The sequence below is a fragment of the Homo sapiens genome, chromosome 15, assembly GCF_000001405.40.
Source record: "Homo sapiens chromosome 15, GRCh38.p14 Primary Assembly".
Classification (NCBI taxonomy): domain Eukaryota; kingdom Metazoa; phylum Chordata; class Mammalia; order Primates; family Hominidae; genus Homo; species Homo sapiens.
Genome location: NC_000015.10, coordinates 32138210 through 32158255, shown reverse-complemented (window position 1 = coordinate 32158255; position 20046 = coordinate 32138210). Strand labels below are relative to the sequence as shown.

Genomic DNA, 20046 nt, shown 5'->3' with positions numbered 1-20046 from the left:
TTGATTTACTATAGAGTTAAGAGTATTTTAGTGATAGTTGGCCAAATTGGTACATATTCTTTTGGTGGATTGGAAACACATGATTATAATAATTATAAATAATACATTACCAATTTTACACTGTTATAAATGTAATCACTGTTTTCCTATTTTAAAATAATCAAATATAGGTTCCCATCAACTGAAATTTGCTGTTCAACTTGCTTTTAGAAATGGAGTGGATCTGCATAACGTAGAGAGATCTATCCTCACACTGGTTTGTTTAAATGCATCCTCACTGCAGTTGCCAGTTCCTCTTGGAAAGCATGGCATATCCTAACTGTTTTCTGTTTCTCCTCCTGTAGCTCTCAGTAAATTATGGAGACTACTGCAAAATTCAATAAATGCTCGCACCGGAAAGGACAGTGGAAAATCCCAAACTTTTAAAGCTTGCCCAGGAATAGGAAAGCTTTCTTCCAGGCGGTTAGTCCCATGGCTTACCCACTAGGTCCCATTCTCCATTGGGGATATAGCCACTGATATCTGCCTCCTGCATCTGCAGATCCAAGGACCAGCCTCCGTAAGACCAGGACCCAAACTTCAGTTTGCAGTGCTGCACATCAAAGGGAAACCAGCGTACATCGATGTAGCAGGAACTCTTGAATATGCCTGTGTGGGTGATGGAAACAGAAGACTGAAACGGAAGCTGACTGAGATGTGCTGAAAATACACAGCAGTTCCTTCAGCCGGTTCCGCCCTCCGCACTGCAGCTAACACAGTCCAGAGCAAATGGAATCTGTCTTTTTATTTATTCGCAAAATCTGTAAAACAGAATCTCAGCTAAGCTTCACTGTCTTTTAAAATCCAAACGTAACACTGACATGCTCTCTCAAAGACTGTTTTGTGGGCTTTTTGTGCAAAAAGTTAGCTCTATAATCTGCATTTACCATGAGCATCTTCAGACTCTAAATAATAAAAGTAAAGAATGCAAAATATCTCAGAGAAGTTGATAACCCTGATGATGAAGTTAGAAATAGAATCTAAAAGGTGTGTGTGTGTGTGTGTGTGTGTGTGTCTGTTTGGTGCGGGGTGAGGTAGGCATTTTCTTTAGGTTAAAAATGGGAAGAACACATGATTATCGAGAAATACAATCTAGAATTCTGGTTAAAGCTAGAATTTTAACTAATTTAAATTCTAGATGAAGAACAGAACAAGCTGGGCACAGTGTCTCATGCCCGTAATCCCAGTGACTCTAAGACATTGACGTGGGAGGGTCACTTGAGACTAGGAGTTTGAGACCGGACTGGGCAACATAGTGAGACATCTCTAATAAAAAAAATTAGCTGGGTGAGGTGATGCATGCCTGTAGTCCCAGCTACTCAGAAGGCTAAGGCAGGAGCATTGCTTGAGCCCAGGAGTTTGAGGCTAAAGTGAAGTGAGCTATGATCGAGCCCCTGCACTCCAGCCTGGGGAACACACCTAGAATCTGTCTGTAAGAAAAAAAGTTAAAACAAACAAACAAACAAACAAACAAACAAAAACAAGAACAGATAGATAGGTTTAAGCTGAAGAGATGGTGCTTGAAGGAAGAGTTTCCGCTGAAAAGAGCTATTCCAGGCTAGGACAGGTTGGAAGTGGATTTCCCAGAGGGCCAAGGGGAGGAAACCAGATAGAGGCCACTCCAGTTATTTACACTCATGTGCTCTTCCCTGCCCAGAGGAAGGCTGCATGGCACAAGAAGACAGGCACAGACTCGGTGTCCAGGTGTTCCTGGGGCAGGGCTGGCACTCTGCAAACTTCTGTTACTGAGTTACAGAAAGAGTGCACGCAGGAAGGGCCTCCACAGCCTTGCACACAAGGACCCCACCCCACAACCGAGTTGGGAAAAGATACACATTTTGTCCCCTGAAGTTCCTTTAAGTATGCTTTGCGTCCTTACATGAAATGTTTATAGGAATCTGGAATCATCACAGACAATCCCCCTCCATTAATAGTTGGATCCCCCCAAAACCCACCTTGTCTGCCAGTTAGTTGGAAAGCTTTGTAACTTCATGAGCCCATTTCTACGAAATAATGGCCCGAGACAGACAGAGAATTTCTAGAGACAGAAAGCAGATCAGTGGTTGCTGGGAGTAGGAATGGGAATTAACTGCAAACAAGCAAAAGGGATCTTTGTGGGGTGATGGGAATGTTCTAAAACTAGACTGTGGTAATGGTTGCATAAGTCTGTAAATATACTAAAAGTTGTTGAATCATGTACTTAAAATGCATGATATGTAAATTCTCTCTCAATAAAGCTGTTAAAAAATAAACACATGAAATGGGGGGGAAAGTCATGTTATGGTCAAGTCTCTATTTCAAAGCTTGAACTCAAAACATTCTTTCCTATCCATGCCCCTCTAACTACAGACAGGGCAGCATCCTGGGACTCGTTCTACACTCCCAGGGAGCAGGCAGGGGTTTCCCAATCCAGGCGGCCCTGGGCCTTTCCTGCCAGCGTAAGGAAGCCCCTCATGGTCACAAGACAACGTGTCCTGTCCTGACCGGAATCCAGGGCCACTGCAGTGGGGACACAGGCCTGGAGCTCCAGAGGGGGCTGCTGCACTCAGGCAGCTCGAGGCTTGCAGTGCTGGTCCTGCAGCTGAAAATAGCCTCAGCCTTCCAAACAACCTGCAGCAGCATATTCTACACTGGTGACTACCGGAGGCTGTTTTCTAAAATAGCCCTCATAACAGAAGCTGCAACACGCAGGCCTGGCGAGAAAGACCTCGGGAGTGATGGAAGGCTCCCCCCACTACCCCTGTTTGCAAGGGTCCTGCTGGTAGGAGGAAATGCCAGGGCTAGCAGGAAAGCGGATGCTTCGAGAAGCCTGAACAGCTGGACTTCTTCAATCTCTTCCAATATTATTGGGAGGTGTCTACCATTGACAGGTTCACTCGCTCCTTTGTTCATTCAGGGATAAATGCTAAGGTGAGCAAAGGCTGACTGTGCCCCCAGATGCTTGTCACCTGCTGACAGGGAAGGCACTCAGACAGCAACCGAGAAGGCACAGCCAGTATGTGTGGTATGTGAGTGGTGTGAATAGTGTATCTGGTTTGAGAGTGCATGCCTGCATGTGTGTAAGTGGTGTGTGTGAGGGTTGTGAGTCGTGTGTGAGTGGTGTGTATGGTGTGTGAGAGTGGTGTGTAAGTGGTGTGTGTGAGGGGTGTGTGTGTGTCTGGTGTGTGTGTGTTGGTGGTTTGAGTGGTTTGTGTGAGTGGTATGTGTGGAGTGGTGAGTGGTGTGTGGGTGGTATATTTGTGTGAGTGGTGTGTGAGTGTTGAGTCGTGTGGGTGGTATGTGAGTGGTTGTGTGAGTGGTGTGTGAGTGTTGAGTCGTGTGGGTGGTATGTGAGTGATGTGTGTGAGTGGTGTGTGTGAGGGGTGAGTGGTGTGTGGTATGTGTGAGTGGCTGTGTGTGAGTGGTTGTGAGTGGTGTGTGTGTGAGTCGTATGTGTGAGTGGTAGTTAGGTGTGGAGGTAATTGCAGGTTGCCTCTGAGCAGAAAGTTAAACAGCTGCAGTGTGGGAGATCACCCTGGAATAAACACATTAAAAATCTTCTAAAAGATCAAAAACCCCAGCTGTTCCTATCAATATGCTAGTGCGCACTCTGCATGCACCTTTAGGCCATAAACCCATTTCCCTTGCCCTGTGAATCGACTGAAAAGATGGACTGGTGGGAAAGAACCAATCCAGGGAGCACTTAGCCTTGGAGGTGAGACACTGTTGGGAAGAAGTCAGCCGCTAGAGAGCTCTCCCTTGAAACCACCAGACCTTGCCTGTAACCTGCGTGTGCTCTTTAGCGCACGCACTCAGGATCCTGGAACTGTCATATCTCACCCCCGGCAGCTGGAGCGCTGCACCTGCCAAGACACTGAGTCCCGCAGGGAGGAGGATGGCAAGCTGGAACTGAGAAGCAGAGCCTGGAGAGGTGGCTTGCCAGGCTGGAAGGTGAGGTGGCCACTGCCCGGCAAAGGAGACTCGCTGTATTTGTACATTGGCTTTAAGGCACACATGGCAGAAAATAAGGACATAGTGGCAAAGACGGCTTGATTGAGACAAAAGAGGAGGATGGACTTCTGGGGGTAGAAAGCACACAGAAGCACAGAAGAGAAGAGAGAGGAAGAGGTGGGAGTGAGCAAAGGCGAAGCAAAGAGCTGGTCCACCACACGGGGGCACCGGCCAGACTGACTGACACCCAAACTCGCTTCAGTTTTCTAACTGGAAGAGGACAAAGGAGGTGCAGCTTACCTGGAGGCAGGTACTGGCAATGCCCAGAAGAATTCACCAACACGTTAGTGTGGAATGTGGCGTCAAAGCGCTCATCAGCACTAGAAACAGGAAAAGGACTGCATGAGCCAGTGCCACCAGGCTGTGGATTTCCCGAAGCCCTGGGGTCTGTCTTTGATGGAGCAGCAAAGACCTTGAGAGGGGCCCCTGTCTGTCCTCACAACCCCACACGCTGCCTGAGAGCACCACTGGGACTGGCCTGGGAGGTCTTCCCCGGGCACAGCTTGGAAGGGCCAGTGTCTACCCCCATTTCAATTTTCACACCGAACTGGTGATTTTTCTCACAATGTATATAAAACCAAGCTCTTAACCAAATGAAACCTGTAAACAACTCTGGAGGACATCGGCAGATGTGACATTTTCATGGTGTCTAGAAGAACAGAGGGTGGGTGAGGCACGCTGCCACCCTGTGAGCCTCATGGGGCAGGGTTTTCACTCGCTGTGTCCAAAGCTCTAGTTCCAGCCTCTTGAAGCGGACCCACACTTGGTTTGTGCTTCACATATATATCTTTTTTTTTTTTTTTTTGAGACAGAGTCTTGCTGTGTTGCCCAGGCTAGAGTGCAGTGGCATGATCTCGGCTCACTGCAAGCTCCACCTCCTGGGTTCATGTCATCCTCCTGCCTCAGCTTCCCGAGTAGCTGGGACTACAGGTGCACACCACCACACCTGGTTAATTTTTTTGTATTTTTAGTAGAGACGGGGGTTTCACTATGTTAGCCGGGATGGTCTCGATCTCCTGACCTTGTGATCCACCCGCCTCAGCCTCCCAAAGTGCTGGGATTATAGGCGTGAGCCACCGTGCCCGGCCCACATATATATCTTGAATGACTGAACTGCAGGTGCAGGAGGGAGCTGGACACCACAACCCCAGAGGGCTTCCAGCTCCACAGTTAGCGATGAAAAGAAGGAGAGTGAGGGAAGACAACAGAAGTAAGTGCGAGTTTTAGACGGATGCACCACTGCCCCTCTCCGTCCCCTGTTCCAGCCTCCTGCAGCCAGGAGTTAACAACTGGGATAAAGGACACACACCCACACACACACAGCCCCAACAGCAATTACACCAACAGCCTGTACTAGCCTTGTCTTTTATTTTCTGGATTCTGATGTGTTGACATCTGGGGCTTTGCTGACTCTGGAGGCCCCTTGGAGAGATAGTAAACAACTCTGGCCTTTCAAACACAAATCAATCAATCCAGAACCCATACCCCCACCCAAACACATCCTTTATCAGGCTGTCACACTGGGGTTGACACCAGTCCTGCTCTCATCACTGCAGGACCAGGTAAAAGTCAACCAGGAAGAGTCCCTATGCCCCAGGGCCTACTGCAATTATTCTAAGGAGCTAATCCTAAACCTAAGCCTGCGTGCCCTGCTCCTCCCTTCCTTCCTGCAGAAGCCACAATGAAGGACGGCCCTTGCTCAGGTTTCCCGCACTCTCTCGGCCTCCCGCGTGGCCCTGGTGCCTCCCTGTGTCCCTGCATGTGCTACGCTTCCCTTTTTTTTTGAAATGGAGTCTAGCTCTGTTGCCCAGGCTGGAGTGCAGGGGCACGATCTCGGCTCACTGCAACCTCTGCCTCCTGGATTCAAGCAATTCTCCTGCCTCAGCCTCCTGAGTAGCTGGGATTACAGGTGCGTGCCACCACTCCCGGCTAATTGTTATATTTTTAGTAGAGATGGGGTTTCACCATGTTGGTTAGGCTGGTCTTGAACTCCTGGCCTCGTGATCCACCCCCACTTAGCCTCTCAAAGTGCTAGGATTACAGGCTGAGCCACCGCGCCTAGCCTGTCCTTCTGCTTCTAAGAACAGTGAGTAAAACTGCTTTCCTTCAGGACAGTCACTTCTGTGTCTAAGTGTCTCACCATGCCTGATTAAAACCAACCCTGGGTACCCTTAAAACACAGCCCTACTGGTAAAGAAAAATAAACCACCTCAAAAAAACACAGGCAGCCAGTCAAAGTACCAGCACCCCAGAGTAAAGCTCCCCTCATTTTGGCCACTATGGCCCCTGCAGGAGCTGCCCATGACTACAGAGCCTCAGGCAGCCTCTCCCATGTCTGAGATTTCTCAAGGGGAAACTTAGAATCACAGATACCGGAGGACAGTCTTCAGCATGCGACACACAGTGGAGGATACACACCAAAAAAGATCCAAAAAGAATGAGTCAATGAAAAGAAGGAAAAATCACTTCTTAAAAAAGTAATGTCCTCACAACATTCAAGAGGATATAGCAATTAGAAAAAAGAGAGAAAAATGGAAATTAAAGGTATGATTTATGAAATAACTTTTTATGAGTAGGTGGGAGGTTTGGCTGATAGAAATCACAGAGATCAAACGTAACACAGAAAGAAGACAGCGTAGAGGACAAGGCTGGGGGAACTCGCCTCACTCACAGAAGCTCCATCAGGGAGAGTGGGAGGGAAAAAATTAAGAAATAACACGAAGACACTTCTCACAGCAGAAAAACCACCCAAGCATGAAGGCAAAAAAAAAGGGGTTTTCAAGAACATTAAAGCCTTGAAGAGCTTGTTCCCAACATATATTTCCTTGGTCAGCTTTGGAACAATGAGAGTGAAACCTGAGAAAGAATACACTTTTAGATTAAACCTGGAGATCGATAAAAGAGATTTAGAGGATGACTTGAGCAGGAGGCCTAGAAAAAGGTGGGTCCAAATCCCAGCAAGATGTTAAAGTACTGAGGACAGAACCAAATGGGTTCAGAGCAAGAAAGAGGAGATATAATGAGCTGAAAAACATCATGGACTTGATTAAGGACACAGTTTTAAACATTCTTATAATAAGAAAAGGCAACCAGAAACTCTAGGAAAAAAGTAGTAATTGTATGAGAAAGCCGTGATTTGAATATGAAACAAGCAAAAACGTGATGAAGTTTAAGGGAAGGAAGAAAGGGGGATAAGGGGGAAAAAGGGGGAGACTGAGAGAAAGGAGAGAGGGAGAGAAGGCGAGAGCCAAGTTGTCATGAAAGGACACATCCCCCCCCCTTACTTCCAAAAACACATAGGGAAAGAGAGAGGAGGAGGTAGGATCAAGATGTAAATATTCTTTGCTTGACCGTAGTCTGTATCTGACTGTTAATGAGTCACATTATAAATGGTGATTGGGCACAAAATAGCTGAAAATGTGGACCTGCACAAGCTCACTCTGGATAGTATCATGATCTTCAAGCTAGGTTCTCTGGAGCCCTGAGACCCTATGGAGGCGCCTCAAGGTTTCTGGAAATATTTACCTCCAATATTTTAGTTCCTTTGAATTTGAAAATGGTAATAAAAGTCACACACTCAAATGACTATTAACAAAATTTTAACTCTTAGAGACTACCGTTGTGTTAATTTATGTGTCCTGTTTAACTCCTTTTTGCATGGAAGTTAAACTAAAGCCTCTCTGGCCATGAATTTGCACGCATTTGAATCTCTTATAAAGGAGTCACCAAATGAGATTTCAGCTTTGCATTGCTTTTAAAAAATTAAAGTCTGTCCCTCCAATTACATGGCATCTAACCCGCACCAGACGTGGGATGCGTTCCCCCATCAATCACCCTCAGTAGCAGCAACATAGAAAGCATGGTCTATAGTCTGGGCACAGTGGCCCACACCTATAATATTAGCACTTTGGGAGGCCCAGAGGGGAGGATCATTTGAAGCCAGAAGTTTGAGACCAGACTGGGCAACAAAGCAAGACCCCATCTCTACAAAAACAAAACACTGACAAAATTAATCAGTGCAGTGACATAAGCTTATGTTTCCAGCTACTCAGGAGGCTGAGGCAGGAGGATTAGTTGAGCCCAGGAGTTTGAGGCTGCAGTGAGCTATGTTTGCACCACTGTCCTCCAGCCTAGGAGACAGAGCGAGACCCTGTCTCTAATAAAATAAAATAAAAACATAAATATTTTTGAAATAAAAATAAATTAAAAATTAAGAATAGTGTGGTTTGATGCATGTTATGGGGAACAAAGTTTTGCTTATTTTAAGCTTGGGTTTCTTCCTGTCTGATTTTCATATTTATAATCAAGACTGAGCATCTGTTAGATCAGTGATTCAACTCTGAAAAAAAAAAAGTTCCTACAAGCCTTTCTTTCAAGCATTTGGATCAATTTAATTGAAGAGACTCTTGAGATCACAAGGCAAACAGGTAAAAACAAGATAAAAAAACTGTTGCTATTAGCAACAGCTTACCTGTGACTCAGTGATTTGTGACTCAGTGATTTCTGAATGTTTTTCATCCAAACAGAATATTGAGCTACATGAAATTGTAACACATAAATGTTATCAAAATCCAAATCTTAATACCCATGATGGTAGTTTTACGCTTCTTTCCCATAGGCAAATTGATTTTATAAGTACATAGTATAAAAGTAAACTCTTGTAATGGATTTGTGCTAATACTACTTTATCTGTTTTGAGCATTAGGGGTGGAGATAAGATGAGTTTGAAGAAAGGCCCTGTTGCTGAAAACTGAGTTTGAAAACAGTGATCTGAGGTGGGAAATGAAGAACCTCGGAAATGTGAGTGGCCAGAACCCCTATGAGGACCTCAGTGGCCACAGCACCGGCGCAGCTTCCCCGGGGATGCCCGACAGATGCCAGCCAACAGTGACCCCCTCACCAGTGCTGGGCAGCCCTGTGCTGGCAAACACCCATAACCGTGGAAACAGGGGTAGGGCTGCAGGGATTCATTCTCCTCCTCACTCCTCTTCTGTGTGTAAACTGTTCTGTATTAAATAGTCTGAAAATGGCCAAATATATTCTTTATTTTGACTACTGGAAGACACAGTACATCCACAGTTTGTGAAGATGCCGGCCTGTGGCCTCTCCGTCCTTGCAGGAGCTGCCTTTATCTGGCTGCCTTTGTCCTCCCCCAGCCAGCAATGACTGGGGCCCACTCTTGGTGTGAGGAGAGCTCTGAGCCCTACCCTCACCACGGAGGGGGTGACTGGGGCAAATGTAACTCAAACATGTAGGACGCAAGCTACGTGTCCTTAGCGGGGGTAGGAGGAGGAGAGGTGTCTGCATAGGCTTTAAAGGATAGCCAGAGCTCCCAAAGACGGAAACGGATGTGGACAGGCCCCTGGCGGAGGGCATGGTGGGATCACACACTTGGAGATAAGCCAGAACGAAGGAGGCTCCAGGAAGGTCTGGCTTGCCTGGATCATGGTGTTTGCTTACACCATGTTGCCCTAAGCAGTGAGGCTGAAAGAGGGCTTGGGAGCAAACCACTGCTTGGCCCCCCAGGCAGGATTCAGAAGCCCAATCCTTATGGGATTACAAGCTGTGCTTTCAGACGTCAATGGCAGTATAGGCAGGGGGAGCCCATGGGGCACAGGTGGACCCTGTGGGTGGGTCTGAGATCACACCTTTCCTTCCTCCACATCCCCTAGGATCCTCACACAATGGTGCCTGGTCTCATTCCTGCAGAGCTGCTGGCCCTGGAACAAGAGCCCTCTGATCCTAGGCTCAGCCTTGCCTCCTGCCTCAGTCAGCTCTGTAGCATTGACCTCTACGGCTGAGCACGGGAGGCCTCAACACTGAGCCAGAAAAGAAGAGAGTGATTGTGCCTCCACAGAGAAAGCATCATCTGACCCAGAAGCCCGGCTCTTATAACCTTGAGAGAAAAAGCCAGGGGTCCAGCCATCAAAGAAGTCCAGCAAGACCAACTCCCAATAGGGCACGTGTTCACCAGAATGAGCCTCTGCATTCAGGTAAAGATGAATAATAATAAAATAACAATAAGAAGAAGAAATCCAGGCACTCTGTCCTGCTGCAAAGAAAATGCTTCGCATGGGTTCAGGATGACCCTAAATAGTAAGGTCTCATGTGAAATCAATCCCATTCCCTCTGAGCTCTCAGCAACCTTGAAAGACTGAGAGAGAGAAGGGCAAGAGAGATGAAGATGAAATCTATCCAAAAAGGAAGGGAGGAGGAAGGATGATGCTCATCTATCTGATCTAAGGTGTCATTTACTTTAAATCTCTGAAGAAAGGGGAAAAAAAGCTGCCAATTCCCCAATTCCATGTGAAGACACCACTGACGGAAGCAATGCCCAGATTGCAGAGGGAAAGCAAGGCTGTTGAGAATGGGTAAATTTTCTGAACAGAAGACAGAGGGAGAGACACACCCTGTCATAAATCTTTTTAGTTCTATATTTTATTCTAAAATGTTGAGGGTCTGCAATCAGCAATGTGGCTTGTCATAGTCCATGACCAAAAAAGTCTTGAGTAGAATCAAACTTTTATGGTCATTTCTACCTGCCAGAGATTCCAGGAAGCAGAATTCTGAGGTACCAGGAGGAGGCTTCCAGAAAAATGCATTCAAGAATATTTCCTTTTTTTAAAAAAAGAAAATATTTACTTATTTATATTATTTGTTTATTTATTTATTTTGAGACAGGGTCATGCTTTGTCACCCAGGCTGGAGTGCAGTGGTGCGATCGTGGCTCACTGGAGCCTCAAACTCTTGGGCTCAAGCCATCCGCCTTCCTCAGCCTCCTGGCAGCTAGGACTGCAGGCACGTGCTATCTGTTCATATTTTGATTTTTATTTTAGATTCAGGACATACATGTGCATGTTTGTCACATGGGTATATCGCATGCGATGCAGAAGTTTAGGGTATAATTGATTCCATCACCCAGGCAGTGAGCAGAGTATCCAGTAGTTTTTCAATCCTGGCCCCCTTCTCCTTTCCCCCTACAGTAGTCTCCAGTGTCTGTTGTTGCCATCTTTATGTCCATGAGTACCCAGTGTTTAGCTCCCACTCAGAAATCTTTTCTTTAGCCACTAGTTGGCATATTAAATTGAATGTAACATGGGATATTATAACAACTGGATATGGCATAGGACGGATTACAGCAAAGCTATAAGTAACATGGGAGAAGATTAACACAGCAGATATCCAGTTTCTGGACTCCCTATTTTTGTTCCTTGTGTTACATGTCTATCCCTGACCCAGCAAAACATCATCTTAATCCTTACAGCATTATGAAAGTGTTGCATTTGGCACAGAAAGTCCCCCAACTTGGTTCTTTTTCTTTAAAATTGTCTTGTTTTACTATTCTTGCTCATTACTGATCCTTTGCTCATCATTGTAAATTTTAAATTTACTTGTACAGTCTCATGAAGTCCCTGTTAAGACTTTAGTTGGAATCACATTAAATTTAGTTGGAATCACATTAATCACACTCAATTTATTTTGGAAAAATTTGGCATCTGGTATTGAGTTTTCCCAGGCATAAACGTGATACAACTCAACATTTATGTTGTTCTTTCTTAAATTTATTTTTTGGTACTCAACACCTGCAGATATTGAAAATAAAATTTGTGAAATTACATTTTCTAACTGTCTGTTGTAAGAATATAGAAACACATTTGATACTTCGATAGATCTTGTTTTGTATCAGATATATTTTTTCTAGACAGTCTCTAGGGATTTTCTATGTAAAAAACAGATATGGCCTATAAAGATGATAACAGGTTTATTCCTTATTCATAAACATTTTATTATTTTACTTGTATTACTACTGAAATTCATATAGTCACTAAGATATTTTTAAAAAGTGATGACACTGATATTCTTATTTTATTCTACGTTTAGAAACTTCTAATGTTTCAGCATTAAGTGAGACCCCTATGTCAGGTTAGGTGAAACTTCTTCCAATTACAAATGGGTTTTAAATAACATCAACTGATTTTTCTCCAGCTACCAGAATGATCATTTATTTTTTTCTGCCTCAATCTTTTAATAGAATGAATTATATTAATGGACTTTTTTGAAAGTTAAACAAACTGTGCATTCCTAATAGAAGCCTAAACTTGTTAGGATTTATTTTTAACTTATTGCTAGACTTTGTTATGCTGATATTTTAGTTAAGACTTATACATAGGAGTTGCTTCCAAGATGGCCGAATAAGAACAGCTCTGGTCTGCAGCTCCAAACGAGATCAACGCAGAAGATGGGTGATTTCTCCAACTGAGGTACCTGGTTCATCTCATTGGGACTGGTTGGACAGTGGGTGCAACCCACGGAGGGCAAGCCAAAGCAGGGTGGGGCGTCGCCTCACCCAGGAAGTGCAAGGGGTTGGGGGATTTCCCTTTCCTAGCCAAGGGAAGCTGTGACAGACTGTACCTGGAAAAACAGTACACTCCCGCCCAAATACTGCACTTTTCAACGGTCTTAGCGATCAGCAGACCAGGAGATTCCCTCCTGTGCCTGGCCCAGTGGGACCCACACCCACGGAGCCTTGCTCACTGCTAGCACAGCAGTCTGTGATCGATCTGTGAGGCTACAGCCTGGTGGTGGGGAGGGGTGTCCGCCACTGCTGAGGCTTGAGTAGGTAAACAAAGCGGCCAGGAAGCTCGAACTGAGTGGAGCCCACCACAGCTCAGCAAGGCCTACTGCCTCTATAGACTCCACTTCTGTGGGCAGGGCATAGCTGAACAAAAGGCAGCAGACAACTTCTGCAGACTTAAACATCTCTGTCTGACACCTCTGAAGAGAGCACTGGTTCTCCCAGCACGGCGTTCAAGCTCTGAGAATGGATAGACTGCCTCCTCAAGTGGGTCCCTGACCCCCGTGTAGCCTGACTGGGAGACATCTCCCAGTAGGGGCCAACAGACACCTCATACAGGTGGGTGCTCCTCTGGGACAAAGCTTCAAGAAGAAGGATCAGGCAGCAATGTTTGCTGTTCTGCAGCCTCTGCTGGTGATACTCAGGCAAACAGGGTCTGGAGTGGACCTCCAGCAAACTCCAACAGACCTGCAGCTGAGGGGCCTTACTGTTAAAAGGAAAACTAACAAACAGAAAGGAATAGCATCAACATCAACAAAAGGGACATCCACACCAAAACCCCATCTGTAGGTCACCAACATCAAAGACCAAAGGTAGATAAAACCACAAAGATGAGGAGAAGAGCAGAAAAACTGAAAATTCCAAAAACCAGAGCACCCCTTCTTCTCCAAAGGATCGCAGCTCCTTGCCAGCAATGGAACAAAACTGGATGGAGAATGACTTTGACGAGTTGACAGAAGTAGGTTTCAGAAGGTCGGCAATAAGAAACTTCTCCAAGCTAAAGGAGCATGTTCGAACCCATTGCAAGGAAGCTAAGAACCTTGAAAAAAGGTTAGATGAATGGCTAACTAGAATGAATAGTATAGAGAAGACCTGAAATGACCTGATGGAGCTGAAAACCACAGCATGAGAACTTCATGACACATGCACAAGCTTCAATAGCCGATTCGATCAAGTGGAAGAAAGGATATCAGTGTTTGAAGATCAAATTAATGAAATGAAGTGAGAAGACAAGATTAGAGAAAAAACAGTAAAACGAAACAAACAAAGCCTCCAAGAAATATGGGACTATGTGACAAGACCAAATCTATGTTTGATTGGTGTACCTGAAAGTGATGAGCAGAATGGAACCAAGTTGGAAAACACCCTTCAGGATATTATCCAGGAGAACTTCCCCAACCTAGCAAGGCAGGCCAACATTCAAATTCAGGAAATACAGAGAACACCACAAAGCTACTCTTCAAAAAGAGCAACCCCAAGACACATAATTTTCAGATTCACCAAGGTTGAAATGAAGGGAAAAAATGTTAACAGCAGCCAGAGGGAAAAGTCGGGTTACCCACAAAGGGAAGCCCATCAGACTAACAGTGGATCTCTCGGCAGAAACCCTACAAGCCAGAAGAGAGTGGGGGCCAATATTCAACATTCTTAAAGAATTTTCAACCCAGAATTTCATATCCAGCCAAACCAAGCTTCATAAGTGAAGGAGAAATAAAATCCTTTACAGACAAGCAAATGCTGAGAGATTTTGTCACCACCAGGCCTGCCTTACAAGAGCTCCTGAAGGAAGCACTTAACATGGAAAGGAACAACTGGTACCAGCCTCTGCAAAAACACGCCAAATGGTAAAGACCATCGATGCTATGAAGAAACCACATCAATTAACAGGCAAAATAATCAGCTAGCATCATAATGACAGGATCAAGTTCACACATAACAATATTAACCTTAAATGCAAATGGGCTAAATGCCCCAATTAAAAGACACAGACTAGAATATTGGATAAAGAGTCAAGACCCATCAGTGTGCTGTATTCAGGAGACCCATCTCACATGCAGAGACACACATAGGCTCAAAATGAAGGGATGGAGGAAGATCTACCAAGCAAATGGAATGCAAAAAAAAAGCAGGGGTTGCAATCCTAGTCTCTGATAAAACAGACTTTCAACCAACAAAGATAAAAAGAGACAAAGAAGGCCATTATATAATGGTAAAGGGATTAATTCAACAAGAAGAGCTAACTATCCTAAATATATATGCACCTAATACAGGAGCACCAAGATTCATAAAGCAAGTCCTTAGAGACCTACAAAGAGACTTAGACTCCCACAAAATAATAATGGGAGACTTTAACAGCCCACTGTCAATATTAGATCAACGAGACAGAAGGTTAACAAGAATACCCAGGATTTGAACTTAGCTCTGCCCCAAGTGAACCTAATAGATATCTACAGAACTCTCCACCCCAAATCAACAGGATATGCATTCTTCTCAGCACCACATTGCACTTATTCTAAAATTGACCAAATAATTGGAAGTAAAACACTCCTCGGCAAATGTAAAAGAACAGAAATCACAAGAAACTGTCTCTCAGACCACAGTGCAATCAAATTAGAACTCAAGATTAAGAAACTCACTCAAAACTGCACAACTACATGGAAACTGAACAACGGGCTCCTGAATGACTACTGGGTAAATAACGAAATGAAGGCAGAAATAAAGATATTCTTTGAAACCAATGAGAACAAAGACACACAACGTACCAGAATCTCTGGGACACATTCAAAGTAGTGTGTAGAGGGAAATTTATAGCACTAAATGCCCACAAGAGAAAGCAAGAAAGATCTAAAATTGACATCCTAACATCGCAATGAAAAGAACTAGAGAAGCAAAAGCAAATAAATTCAAAAGCTAGCTGAAGGAAAGAAATAATTAAGATCAGAGCAGAACTGAAGGAGATAGAGACACAAAAAAACCTTCAAAAAATCAATGAATCCAGGAACGGGTTTTTTGAAAAGATCAACAAAATAGACAGACCGCTAGCAAGACTAATAAAGAAGAAAACAGAGAAAAATCAAATAGACGCAATAAAAAATGATAAAGGGGATATCACCACCGATCTCACAGAAATACAAAATACTGTCAGAGAATACTATAAACACCTCTATACAAATAAACTAGAAAATCTAGAAGAAATGGATAAATTCCTGGACTCATGCACCCTCCCAAGACTAAACTAGGAAGAAGTTGAATCTCTGAATAGACTAACAACAGGTTCTGAAATTGAGGCAATAATTAATAGCCTACCAACCCAAAAAAGTCCAGGACCAGACAAATTCACAGCCGAATTCTGCCAGAGGTACAGAGGAGCCGGTACCATTTCTTCGGAAACTATTCCAATCAATAGAAAAAGAGGGAATCCTCCCTAACTCATTTTATTAGGCCAGCATCATCCTGATACCAAAGCTGGGCAGAGACACAACCAAAAAAGAGAATTTTAGACCAATATCCCTGAGGAGCATTGATGCAAAAATCCTCAATAAAATACTGGCAAACAGAATCCAACAGCACATCAAAAAGCTTATCCATCATGATCAAGTTGGCTTCATCCCTGGGATGCAAGGCTGGTTCAATATATGCAAATCAATACATGTAATCCATCACATAAACAGAACCAATGACAAAAACCACATGATTATCTCAATAGATGCAGAAAAGGCCTTCGACAAAATTCAACAGCCCTTCATGCTAAAAACTCTCAATAAACTAGGTATTGATGGAACGTATCTCAAAATAATAAGAGCTATTTATGGCAAACCCCCAGCCAATATCATACTGAATAGTCCAAAACTGGAATCATTCCCTTTGAAAACTGGCACAAGACAAGGATGCCCTCTTCACCACTCCTATTCAACATAGTGTTGGAAGTTCTGGCCAAGGCAATCAGGCAAGAGAAAGAAATAAAGGGTATTCAAATAGGAAAAGAGGAAGTCAAATTGTCCCTGTTTGCAGACGACATGATTGTATATTTAGAAAACCCCATTGTCTCAGCCAAAAATCTCAAGCTGATTAAGCAACTTCAGCAAAGTCTCAGGATACAAAATCAATGTGCAAAAATCACAAGCATTCCTATACACCAATAACAGACAAACAGAGAACCAAATCATGAATGAACTCCCATTCACAATTGCTACAAAGAGAATAAAATACCTAGGAATCCAATTTACAAGGGATGTGAAGGACCTCTTCAAGGAGAACTACAAACCACTGCTCAATGAAATAAAAGAGGACACAAACAAATGGAAGAGCATTCCATGCTCATGGATAGGAAGAATCAATATCGTGAAAATGGCCATACTGCTCAAGGTAATTTACAGATTCAATGCCATCCCCATCAAGCTACCAATGACTTTCTTCACAGAATTGGAAAAAACTACTTTAAAGTTCATATGGAAACAAAAAAGAGCCCACATAGCCAAGACAATCCTAAGCAAAAACAACAAAGCTGGAGGCATCACATTACCTGACTTCAAACTACACTACAAGGCTACAGTAACCAAAACAGCATGGTACTGGTACCAAAACAGAGATATAGACCAATGGAAGAGAACAGAGGCCTCAGAAATAACACCACACATCTACAACCATCTGATCTTTGACAAACCTGACAAAAACAAGAAATGGGGAAAGGATTTCCTGTTTAATAAATAGTACTGGGAAAACTGGCTAGCCATATGTATAAAGCTGAAACTGGATCCCTTCCTTACACCTTATACAAAAATTAACTCAAGATGGATTAAAGACTTAAACCTAAGACATAAAACCATAAAAACCCTAGAAGAAAACCTAGGCAATACCATTCAGGACATAGGCATGGGCAAAGACTTCATGACTAAAACACCAAAAGCAATGGCAACAAAAGCCAAAATATACAAATAGGATTTAATTAAACTAAAGAGCTTCTGCACAGCAAAAGAAACCATCATCAGAGTGAACAGGCAACCTAGAGAATGGGAGAAAATTTTTGCAATCTACCCATCTGACAAAGGGCTAATATCCAGAATCTACAAATAACTTAAACAAATTTACAAGAAAAAAACAACCCCATCAAAAAGTGGGCAAAGGATATGAAGAGACACTTCTCAAAAGAAGACATTTATGCAGACAACAGACACATGAAAAAATGCTCATCATCACTGGCCATCAGAGAAATGCAAATCCAAACCACAATGAGATACCATCTCTCTCACACCAGTTAGAATGGCAATCATTAAAAAGTCAGGAAACAACAGATGCTAGAGAGGATGTGGAGAAATAGGAATGCTTTTACACTGCTGGTGGGAGTGTAAACTAGTTCAACCATTGTGGAAGACAGTGGAAGATTTCTCAAGGATCTAGAACTAGAAATACCATTTGACCCAGCAATCCCATTACTGGGTATATACCCAAAGGATTATACATCATGCTACTATAAAGACATATGCACACGTATATTTATTGCGGCACTATTCACAATAGCAAAGACTTGGAACCAACCCAAATGTCCATCAATGACAGATTGGATTAAGAAAATGTGGCACACATACACCATGAGTACTATGCAGCCATAAAAAAGGATGAGTTCATGTCCTTTGCAGGCACATGGATGAAGCTGGAAACCATCATTCTCAGCAAACTATCACAAGGACAGAAAACCAAACACCACATGTTCTCATTCATAGACGGGAACTGAACAATGAGAACACATGGACACAGGGCAGGGAACATCACACACCGGGGCCTCTCGGGGGGTGGGGGGCTGGGGGTGGGATAGCATTAGGAGAAATATCTAATGTAAATGACCAGTTAATGGATGCAGCAAGCCAACATGGCACATGTACACCTAATGTAACAAACCTGCACATTGTGCACAGGTACCCTATAACTTAAAGTATAATAATAAAAAAGGCTTATACATTTATGTTCATAATGATATTTTATGCTGGGTGGAACTTGCCTGTAAACCTACCTTTTTGAATTTCTTTTTTAAAAATATACTGATCAAAAGAATGAAAAGATGACCTCCAGATTGGGAGAAAATATTTGCAAAAGACACATCTAATAATGAACTGTAATCCAAAATATACAAAGAACTCTTAAAACTCAGCAATAAGAAAACAAACAATCCAATTAAAATAATGGGCCAAAGACCTTAACAGACACCTGAGCAAAGACAATATAGAGATGGCAAAGAAGCACATAGAAATATGTTCCACATTGTCATATTTAATACAAATTAAAAAAAAAAAAACTGAGACACCACTACGCATCTATTAGAATGACCAAAATCCAGAACACTGACAACACCAAATGCTGGCAAGGATGCAGAGCAACAGGAACTCTCATACACTGCTGGTGGGCATGAGAAATGGTGCAGTCACTTTGGAAGGCAGTTTGGCAGTTTCCTACAAAACGAAGCATACTCTTTCCATGTGATCCAACAATTGCCTTCCCTTGTATTTATCCAAAGGAGCAGAAAACGTGTGTTCACACAGAAACCTACATACATATGTTGATAGCAGCTTTATTCATAATTGCTAAAACTTGGAAGCAACCTTCAGTAGGTGAAATGGATAAACTAACTGTGCTATATCCAAACAATGGATTATTATTCAGTGCTAAAAAGAAATGGGCTATCAAGCCATGAAAAAAACATGGAGGAACCTTAAATGCATATTACCAAATGAAATAAGTCAATCTGAAAAGATTACAGACTGTAAGATTCCAATTATATGATATTCTAGGAAAAGTAAAGCAATGGAGACAGCAAAACAGATCAGGCCGGGCGCAGTGGCTCACGCCTGTAATCCCAGCACTTTGGGAGGCTAAGGCAGGTGGATCACCCGAGGTCAGGAGTTTGAGACCAGCTTGGCCAACATGACGAAACCCTGTCTCTACTAAAAATACAAAAATTAGCCAGGCGTGGTGGCGTGCACCTGTAGTCCCAGCCACTCAGGAGGCTGAGGTGGGAGAATCGCTTGAACCCGGGACGTGGAGGTTGCAGTGAGCCGAGATCGCACCACTGCACTCCAGCCTGGGCGACAGAGCGATACACCATCTCAAACAAAACAAAACAAAACAAAACAAAACAAAACAAAACATAACAGGTCAATGGCTGCCATGGATTGCAGAGAGAGGGCGGGATGAATAGGTGGAGCACCGAGGATTTTTAGGGCAGTGAAGCTATTCTGAATGATACTATAATGGTCGATACAGGTCATTATACATCTGTGCAAACCCACAGAACCCATACGCCACCAAGAGAGAACCCTGATGTAAACTATGGACTCTGGGTGGTAATGATGTGTCTGCATCAGTTCATCTATTTCAATTGTACGGCCCTGGTGGGGGATGTTGATGATGGGGGAGGCTGTGCTTGGGTGGGGGTTGGGAGGGGACATGGGAACTTGTACCTTCCACACAGTTATGCTATGAACCTCAAACTGCTTTAAAAAACAAAGTCTGTTTTTTTGCTAGTCTATTCCCTTTTTGGTCTATTTTTCTAGAAAATATTAAATCTATCTAAGTTTCCAAAATTTTGGCATAAAATTGTGTCACAATATTCTATTTTTAAGTATTTTTCTGTAGTTGAAAACCCCTTTTATATCCAGTAAATGTTTGTT

At 43.5% G+C, this 20046-nt stretch overlaps 1 protein-coding gene and 1 long non-coding RNA gene across 19 annotated transcripts in view, besides 2 other annotated features; one reads left to right on the top strand and one right to left on the bottom strand.

The window, feature by feature from the left end:
- LOC102724078 (uncharacterized) overlaps nt 1–2291 on the top strand; it is a 187103-nt gene extending 184812 nt beyond the window's left edge. For 10 of the 11 annotated variants that reach the window (XR_007064561.1, XR_007064568.1, XR_007064566.1 and 7 more), the window contains one exon: nt 542–2291. This is a non-coding gene — a long non-coding RNA (uncharacterized LOC102724078). Of the gene's footprint in view, nt 1–344; nt 463–541 lie in introns of all 11 variants that reach the window. The other variant, XR_007064560.1, reaches the window with a different exon arrangement.
- CHRNA7 (cholinergic receptor nicotinic alpha 7 subunit) overlaps nt 1–20046 on the bottom strand; it is a 142536-nt gene that overhangs the window by 14763 nt on the left and 107727 nt on the right. For 6 of the 8 annotated variants that reach the window (NM_001190455.3, NM_000746.6, XM_011521178.4 and 3 more), the window contains 2 exons: nt 4270–4349; nt 481–648 (listed from right to left, as the gene is read on the bottom strand). In NM_001190455.3, coding sequence (NP_001177384.1) covers nt 481–648; nt 4270–4349 — 248 coding nt within the window. Of the gene's footprint in view, nt 1–480; nt 649–4269; nt 4350–8500; nt 8905–20046 lie in introns of those variants that run through there. The other 2 variants (XM_011521177.3, NR_046324.1) reach the window with 2 other exon arrangements.
- Nucleotides 5267–5766: an enhancer, noted in NCBI's record as "NANOG-H3K4me1 hESC enhancer chr15:32444691-32445190 (GRCh37/hg19 assembly coordinates)". NCBI's record gives its function as "activates a minimal SCP1, AML or CMV promoter by ChIP-STARR-seq in primed H9 embryonic stem cells {active_cell/tissue: H9 hESC(primed)}" and the evidence as "EXISTENCE:reporter gene assay evidence [ECO:0000049][PMID:30033119]".
- Nucleotides 5767–6268: an enhancer, noted in NCBI's record as "NANOG-H3K4me1 hESC enhancer chr15:32444189-32444690 (GRCh37/hg19 assembly coordinates)". NCBI's record gives its function as "activates a minimal SCP1, AML or CMV promoter by ChIP-STARR-seq in primed H9 embryonic stem cells {active_cell/tissue: H9 hESC(primed)}" and the evidence as "EXISTENCE:reporter gene assay evidence [ECO:0000049][PMID:30033119]".